The sequence below is a fragment of the Homo sapiens genome, chromosome 11 (assembly GCF_000001405.40).
Source record: "Homo sapiens chromosome 11, GRCh38.p14 Primary Assembly".
Taxonomy (NCBI): Eukaryota; Metazoa; Chordata; class Mammalia; order Primates; family Hominidae; genus Homo; species Homo sapiens.
Window position 1 is genome coordinate 128,555,309 of NC_000011.10, and position 9,267 is coordinate 128,564,575.

General features: G+C 43.4%; 1 protein-coding gene across 5 annotated transcripts in view; it reads right to left on the bottom strand.

The window, feature by feature from the left end:
• The window catches only part of ETS1 (ETS proto-oncogene 1, transcription factor), a 128,794-nt gene that overhangs the window by 96,544 nt on the left and 22,983 nt on the right, over window positions 1-9,267 (bottom strand). For all 5 annotated transcript variants that reach the window (XM_017017314.2, XM_017017315.3, NM_001143820.2 and 2 more), the window contains one exon: window positions 983-1,127. In XM_017017314.2, coding sequence (XP_016872803.1) covers window positions 983-1,127 — 145 coding nt within the window. The remainder of the gene's footprint in view (window positions 1-982; window positions 1,128-9,267) is intronic.

Genomic DNA, 9,267 nt, shown 5'->3' on the forward strand with positions numbered 1-9,267 from the left:
ATTTAAGTAATTGACCAAAGAATGTTGTGGGGTAAAATAACACTGAACCAAAAAGTAGCCTTCAAGTTAGTGACTCCCCCTGCCATGCCCTGCCCAGGTCTTTCCCCAGAATTACATTTTCCCAACATGTAAGAGTAATGACATTTTTATGCTAAGAATTCATCCTGGGAGAAAACACAGATTTTGACTAGCTATTTGGTATTCAAATATGTTATCATAACATGGTCTCATGTGAAAGTGAACTTAATATCTGAATTGATCATTTCAAAATTCCCAAATTCAAATTTAATGGTTTTTGTTTAAAAACAAAACAAAACAAACAAAAAAAAAACACTAGCTGGTAAACCAAGAACTAGTGGAATTTGTGAGAAACAGAGTGTCTCCTGAAAACAGCATGGAGATGAGGACTTCAGATTCCTGAGGTCCCTGGGAATGCAGATCCATTGATTTGAGAGTTCTCTGGAGGAGACTCCCACTCACCAGAGGGCAGCACTGCCACCAGCAAGTGGAAGGAGAGAAGGGAGAGAGAGACAGAGGAAAAAGAATTGGGATCCAGGTGGGCATGGACAGAGAGGCCAGGAACAATGGAAACAGATGATCATCGAAAGAAAGCATGTTCTCTAAGAAGGCCGAGCAATTCACACACCTCTGTTTATCCAGCTCAGACTCTGTGACTGCAAAACTTCTAGGCTCTCTGACAACAGCCAAAACGGGTGTCAGGAAATGCAGGATAGGCAAAACTATTTGCAAGGTGAAGACCTAAAGCAACCTTTCTTGGGCCCATTCCTAGAGTTTAGACTTCCTGTCGGGGAATAAAGTAACCCAAAATTTATGGAGAAGGCCCGGGACTTTCCATTCAAGAACAATAGCATCTGTACCCGCATAAGCCATGGCAGCTGTTATTTGAAAGAATGCAGCCCTCATCACATTTCCATTGTCCTTCAACTCTATCCTCATTCCCAGCTTTTGTTTATGTTCCTACCTGAGACACAGTGTTCAAGACCAGTAGGAACTTCCTGAGTTGCCATCTCATCCCAAAAGGGGTAGCAAGGTCTTTGCTGGTGATAATTGGACTGGAAACCACAGTTCATTCGAGGATCTTCATAAGTGTTGCTAGGTCCTTGCCTCTGTGCAAGAAAAAATAGAAGAAAATATATTAGGAGGAAAATCTCTGTTGTTTAGCCCTAAAGAACTATGACTTCATATTATCCAATCACATGTAAGTAAGAATCATCTATAGATGATGACAGAACAGAGCCAACTCTTGTTTTCTTCCCTTATCCCCCCACATAAAGACGCAGGGAACGAGAAGAATTTCTGACTCAGACTATGTATGAATTTATCTTCCTCCATTTCTTCAAGTGTTTAAGGACTACCTTTTCTGGCCTTCAAATAAGAACCCATGGTTAACAGCAGGGCCGAATGCTGACCATCTTGAATTTATACACTCCTGGCTTATTTTTAATGGTACCTTACTCTGTAAAAACGTCATGAAAGGATATTCTTACAAGGCTTACTCCACAATCATACAACAAGTAAATGATACATGCCAAAGGAAAAAAAAATGGACCTATGTAATAAAATTCACCTCATTTTTTGGTTAATCAGTGTGTATAGGCTTTAAATACATTGGTTGCTAGGCAGAAATTGTCCATTTGCCCCAATTTTCGAAGACTTGTGCCACACTCTTAGTAATTTTATGAACTCCATAAAATATACAATCCCAATCTACATAGTACTCTCTAAGGAAGACAGATGTGCTGTGTGGAAGGTCATGTTTTGCTGTGTTTAAAACCCTAGGCTTTGAAGCCAGGTATACATAATTCAAATCCCAGCTCTATCACTTACCAACATGGAGCCTGGGCCTGTTCCTTAATCCAAACCTTAGTTCATGCAATTGTAAAATGAAAATAATAGAAACTGGAAACATGTACATATAGCTCTAGCTACTCGGGAGGCTAAGGCAAGAGGATCACTTGAGCCCAAGAGTTTGAGGCTCAGTCAGGGCAACATAGCAAGACCCAACCTCTAAAAATAAAGTGAAAGTAATAATACTTACTTCATGAAGTAGGACGATTGAATGAAATAATGTATGAGAAAATTGTATATAAAGCAAATTAAAATATAAAATTGCATTTAATAAAACTATATATTGTATGAAATGCATGTGATAAGTATGTGAGGCCTGGTCTTCAATATAAGTTAGGCATTATTTTAATTTAAGAGATCCTTAACATTCCTGGAAATGGCCACATAGGTTAAAAACTAAGACACAAAAGGAAAAGTAGCAAATTCACAGAAAGAAGATTTCCTGAGACCAGGATTCTAATCGACACTGGCCCATCCTCAACTTTCTTTTTTTCTTTTTTATTATTACTCTCTTGGGTCCCTGCACCTTCATAAAAACCCCAACTAAGGAAACCAAACTCTGCTAGAATTTAATATGGTTAAATCTATTGACATTAAGGTCTCAATAAAGGTAGCTCATAAGATGGTATTCTCACCCCTGAAGACTAGCTTGCAACTCCCAGAAAGATTCTCCAACTGGAGAACTTACGTCTTCTCTTCTTCTGAGCATACAAGAATTCAGTACTACTATGTTAGATTCAGTTGCCCACTATCTGCTCCCTTTCCCAATTTGCAATGGCCCATTCACTTAAGATCAGTAAAAATAACAGAAGAGAATATATTGACACAGAGAAAAATGACAATGAACCCAAAAGGCAGAAGAAGGTTCCATGCACATGATATTGGACCTGGTGTTCTATAATATTCATAAAATCATTCAAATTAGAGCTGGATGAAGTTTACTTTGGGGCTGTTTATCTTCCAACTGCATTAAAGGTACTGAGGATGTAAGTGGGACTCAGTGGAAATGTCACCAGTTGTGTTGCATCGAAGGCTAACATCCTTAGCCTGCTGTTGCCAGGGGCCTTGATGAGCACTGTGAAAATGTACAATGGCAGATTTGCCACCTATATGTGTGTGGGGCCAAGAGACAGGGGAACCATCAGCAAGAATACACTACTGAGCATCAGTCAGAAAATGTTTCCTGGCCGGGCGCGGTGGCTCACGCCTGTCATCCCAGCACTTCGGGAGGCCGAGGAGGGTGAATCACCTGAGGTCAGGAGTTCGAGACCAGCCTGGACAACATGGTGAAACCCTGTCTCTACTAAAAATACAAAAATTAGCCAGGCGTGGTGGTGGGCGCCTGTAATCCCAGCTACTAGGGAGACTGAGGCAGGAGAATCGCTTGAACCTGGGAGGTGGAGTTTGCAGTGAGCCGAGATCGAGACCGTGCCACTGCACTCCAGCCTGGGTGACAGAGCAATATCCATCCCAAAAAAAAAAAAAAAAAAAAAAAAAAAAAAAAAAAGAGAGAGAGAGAGAAAAGAAAAGAAAATGTTTCCTTACTTTTGGCTTCAAACCATTTTGCTGGAATGTTATTTAATGCTATATGCTCCTGAAGCAGCTACATTAAATACTTCTTTTGGATTCCCAACAATAAGCAGGTCTTTAACAAAACTTTGAAACTGAATCAGTTCAAAACACACTTCCTAGTCTTATAAATCAAGCCTTGTGCTCTCAATATCATCCTCATCTTTTTCATATTCCTTTAGAGCCTTTTTTCAAAATTTAATGTCAAGTATCAGAGTTGTAGGAATAGGGTCTTGAGTGAGAAAATTTTGATTCTAAATGCTGTGAAGAATTCTAAGTTACCCACATCTGTCTTCTTTTGGGACAGCATGCATGGTTTGCCAAAAACAAAAGATCCTCGTAAAGTGGTAGTAGGTAGTTGGTTCTTTTAAGTAGGTAGACAGGTAGTTTGTTACAGGCCCTGCTAGGGTGGTGGGAACCTAAGAACCTGAATTCGGATTTAAAAGTTTGGGTTTTGTCTGCTAAAGAAAAGCCACTTGAAGGCAAGGTGACATTGGCAAAGAGGGGATGAAGAAAAGTGACCTGGGAACAATGTGCAGAGGACAGAGAAGGTAGATAATCGGTAAGTAGGTAGGGCACAAAATAATGTGGGTCCACACCTGGGTGATAACAGGGTAGCCATATTGTAGGTCAACTCACAGGCTTTGAGTAACAACCATGCACAGAATCAGCTTGATTTTATGTGGTTGGTTTTTTTCCTGGAGTCTCTTCTGCCCACAGCTGGGCTCTTGGTCAACACGTTTTTTATTTTATAAATGAAACCCTCTGTATATTTTTAAGGCATAGTTCCTCTGTAACTGTCCTCCGTGGAGCCACTGGATCCTATTTTTAAGAATGAGAAGGCAATAATGTACAAAAACTACCATTAACCACGAGAATCTTTACCAGGGGATGCTCCTGAGAAGCCTTTCATGGTTTTGTTATCTAGACACCTGCCTGTTTATTAGACATTTCATGAACTGACTTAATAACTATTTCATAGAGTATGAAAATGATATTTTTACTCAAGAGAACAACATCACCAGTTCCAATTCATTATGAAACTGCCTCAGTTGAGGAGAAAAAAAGCAGGTTATTAACAGGTCAGAAATCTGGGCAGCCCAGCCCCCACCTCATTGCTTGAAAAGATCACCACACCAAACAGGTCCCTGCTTATTGGGCCTCTTCATTGGCATCTTCCTTTCTTGGCTGCAACTGGAGATGAGTCAACAAGATGCAAGCAACACTCCCCATCTCTGCCACATGTTTAAGAAAACCATCTGACAGGTTCTCACTCACCCATCCCACAGGTGATTGCCGAAAGGACCTAACAAACATCACACATCTGTTCAGTGCCCCCTGGCACTCTGCATCAGAGATGGTCTCCTTTTTTTTTTTTTCTTTTGAGATAGAGTCTCACTTTGTTGCCCAGGTTGAAGTGCAGTGGCGCAATCTCGGCTCACTGCAACCTCCGCCTCCTGGCATCAAGTGATTCTCCTGCCTCAGCCTCCCAAGAACCTGGGATTAAAGGCATGTGCCACCATGCCCAGCTAATTTTTGTATTTTTAGTAGAGTCGGGGTTTTATCCTGTTGGCCAGGCTGGTCTCGAATTCCTGCCCTCAGGTAATCAGCCTGCCTCGGCCTCCCAAAATGCTGGGATTACAGGCGTGAGCCACCGCGCCCGGCCGAGATGGTCACTTTTAATCCTCACAACAATCCTGCAAGATTAGTATTTTCATCTTCATTTTACAGAAGAGCAAACAGGTTTTAAGAGGTCAAGTAAATTTCCCAAGGCCATGCAGCTAATAAAACAATGGAGACAGAATTCTAACCCAAGTCTATTTGATTTCAGATTGTCTTTTCTGCTACGTGCACAACATGCAGCTTGCATGGCTTAAGTACAAATTGCTCAAGAATGGTGGTTACTGTTCCATAATAGGTACTTAATGAATTATGGCAATGTGCATTCATGGACTAATATATTTGGTGCACCTAGTCTATGACAAGTATTATGTTAGATGCTAAGAATGTAATATAAGCAACAAATAAACCATGGCCTTAGGAGCGTACAGACAAGTAAACAGGAAATTACAGTGAGGGATGGGACAGAATTAAGTACCAATGTGTAGGGGGAGGGGAATAGCAGCAGGGAAGGCTTCCTGCAGGAAGCAGACTAAGGTAATAACTGTTAAGATTGAGTAAGATTTGCCCTGAAACATTTGATGAAGGGCCACATGAGCAAAAGAAGAGGAAGATAATCCATCCAAAGGTAAAAAAGAACATATACAGCTATGTAAGGAGGAATAAGAAAGATTCAGGGAGGTGTTATAGAGAGAGAAAGACGGTGTTGTTTGGAGGTGACAAGCAGGAGGAAAAGGTATGCCCTTGGGCAATGAGGATGGTAGGAGTGGAGGGTAAGTAGTAAAACTTCAAGCCGGAGGGCAGGGTAAGACCACAGTGTAGAGAGCCATGCAGGCCAAGCAGGAATCTGGCCTCAGGAGAGAGCCACTAGAGGCCATGCTAGAGGCCTGGGACATGGTGAAGCAATGCCTTCAAGAAAGACTCATTTGATGGTGCTGAGTAGGACAGACAGGGCAGGGCAAGAAGGCGAGGAGGCTGACACAGGTCAGGAGGAGAGCTTTGCTGAGCCACATTGGGAAAAATCAGTAATACTGATCTTGACTTTATTTAAAATTTTGATTTTTTTCATAATAATGTTTGCATTAATTCTGATTTTTCAAAGATATTACATTAAGATATTATTCAACTTGATTACTGAGTTTGGGGGCACCCCATGTGGATGCCTCACTCACCTCACTGTAGTCCAGTTCTGAAGAAAGAGTTGGGCCATGGGTGTCGAGGGGAAGAGGAAATAAGAAATATTGGATGTGTTTTAAAGGAAAAATCGACATGATTTTATGACTGATTGGTCATAGGAGATGAAGAGAGGGAAATCCAAGATGCCACTTAGATTGCTTATGTTTATGCAGTGAAAATGGTGAATCTACGGGACGGACATAAATAAGGAGAGTGGAAGACAATGTTGCCTTTGGTTGAGTTCAGATGGAGTGAGGGCAACTTGGTGGAGGGTCTCTAAGGTGAATGCATGATGGGAGAAGGCAGGAAAGAGTCAAGCTAGACCTAGCAGCAAAAAGGATGGAGGTAGAGCACAACTCAAGGAAAATGGCAGTCAGGACAATAAGGGAAAGAATTGAAAGTGGATCTGTAAAGCTGCTGACAGTTAAGAGGAGAAACAAGGGAGAAAAAGCACAAAGAAGTACTGGTTGAAGACGTAGGAGGAAAAACAAGCAAGTATACAGGATCATGGAAGCCAAGAGCAGAGCTTTAAGCACCAGGGGTGGTGAACAAGAGGCCACTAAGAAAAGGGTGGTCTTGGCCGGACGCGGTGGCTCACGCCTATAATCCCAGCACTTTGGGAGGCCGGGAGGCCAAGGCGGGCAGATCACAAGGTCAGGAGTTCAAGACCAGCCTGGCCAACAAGTTGAAACCCCGGCTCTATTAAAAATATAAAAATTAGCCAGGCGTGGTGGTAGGCACCTGTAATCCCAGTTACTCTGGAGGCTGAGGCAGGAGAATCATTTGAACCCGGGAGACAGAGGTTGCAGTGAGCCGAGATCGTGCCATTGCACTCCAGCCTGGGTGACAGTGTGAGACTCCATCTCAAAAAAGAAAAAAGAAAATAAAAGAGTGGTCCCCAGGCAGCCATGGAGGAAGGGATTCCCCTGGGCATCTTAGGAAAACACACACCTCTTCTCTGCTCGTCATATGCAGTGGTGAGCCGTGGAGGAAACAGCATGGCTCTCCCTGTCCTCTTAGAAAGAGGCTACCAGAGGACATGAGCCCACAGCCTGAATGCTCCACCCATCTAATCCTGGGAATGAAATGAAGCCCCGGAAGCCTGGAAACTAGTTGGACAATGGACACACCTTGGTCCTGCTCTGCTCTGAGGTGAGCCAGCCCTAAAGCCACCACCTGGGCCGACCACCACCACCATTCCTGCAAGGAAGCACTCATTGGTTTGTGACCCTTCCCTAGCACCACTTCCCAGTGCTTCAAAGTCAGGAACTTGGATCTTGCTAGCCCATTCCCTCCTCCACTGCCCACAGTCATCTCCCTGGAACTGCCTATTCACCTGTCCCCTCCAGCCAGCCACATCTTAAAGCCATTCCTTTTGCTCATAGCTTTCCCTGTCTCCATGCCCCAAAGTCCCCAAAAATTGAAAAAAAAAAAAAAAGAATAGGAGAATATATTTTTACAACAGAAAATCATGAACATGAGGAGTCTGTGTCTGTGGAGTGGGTGATCTATTCTTTCGGTCTTCTGTCTTTAGCAGAACAGTCTTCAATGTCCACATGCGATGAGTAACTCCCTAGTTGCTCACCTTCTGTATGTGTTACTTGGAGCCTAAACTCCATAGGAGCAAATCTGTCTTGTCTTTGCTTGACTTCAGAATCCTAGGGTTTAGCCTTAGTACAGGGTCATAAACATGTAAGACACTATACATATTTCTAGATGCTAGTGCTTTCTAAAAATATTTTAAACCCAGAAGCAAGGCTGAGTCAACACTGGGTGGATGGGCACTATGATTTGCCACCATGGAAATAACTTTGTATTATTTTTCTAGGAATGTCATAGATGCTCATGCACTTTAGCAGAAAGACACAAGACTAGAAATCAAGCAGCCTGGGTTCAAGTCCTGCTGTACATCTAAGGAGCTGTGTAACCTCTGGGCTATTCCTTAACCTCTCTGAACCTTTGCTTCCTGAGGAGTTCGGCCTCCATGATCTCCAAGTTCCTTGCCAACTCTGTGTCATTTTTGCTGATCCATCCACATTCTTTCTCCTGACCTTACGACTGACAACCTTCATTGGATAAACAGCCACACCACGGTGGGCGAGCCTGCAGAGCCAAAAGTTATCGGAGGTATAATGTGGGTCTGTGACATACAATGTGCCCTTGAACTGCATGAAAGGTCTTACATTGTTTGTCTTCATTCTCTCCCGAAGCCCTGCTCCAACAGTTTTGTCACCATCTGCCCCACATTTCAGTAGAGAACAGTGAAGCTCAGTAAGAGTCTTGCTACTGAACAGTTATAGGGGCTCTCACCTGGCAGGTGCTCAATTAAAGTGTGTGCAATACCTAGGCCATTTCTCTGCTTAAACCCTTCCTCCTGGTTGCATGTAGTTGCCCTTGTGCGACTCCATGCACTTCTGATAAAGTCTGGACTTCCTCATCCTCAGAAGACGCTTTAGCACCTCCGTACCCTCCCAACCACCCTACGGATAGGCTGTTTGGCAATGGTGAGGAACAGTTTTGGTCAGAGGTATTTGGCCTCAGAAGGACATGGGCAAGGGCGTGGTTTCTGGGGCACATCTGTTCAGAGGGCACGTTTGTTCTGCTCCCTTGAGAGGTAAAAGGGAAGGAGGCAAACAGAACCACTCCCCAGCTCTCCGGAGTTTGCTGATCAAGCCTGAGGGTGGTGAGGGGGTGCAGCCACCAGGAGAAGCAGGAACAGGCAAAATAGGAAACTCTCAAAGGGCAATTTAATTTTAGACTCAAGGCCAGGAAATTCTTTTTAAAACAATAAGAGTAATGGGCTTGGGCCTTGGTGAAAGTGCAGGCCTGACACGCTGCAGGTTTCTGCAGAAAAAATTCTGAAGCACAGAGGGTTGTAGAGAAGGGGATGTCTAATTATGCTCTTAATGCAAAGCTGTGCTTAGCTTCCCTAGGGACCCCCTGGGGAAGCACACAAAGTCGGAGGTAGTGCAGCCAACACCAACACTACAACTCATACCAGCCTGAGACCAGGACAGCCTCCACTCACAGCCA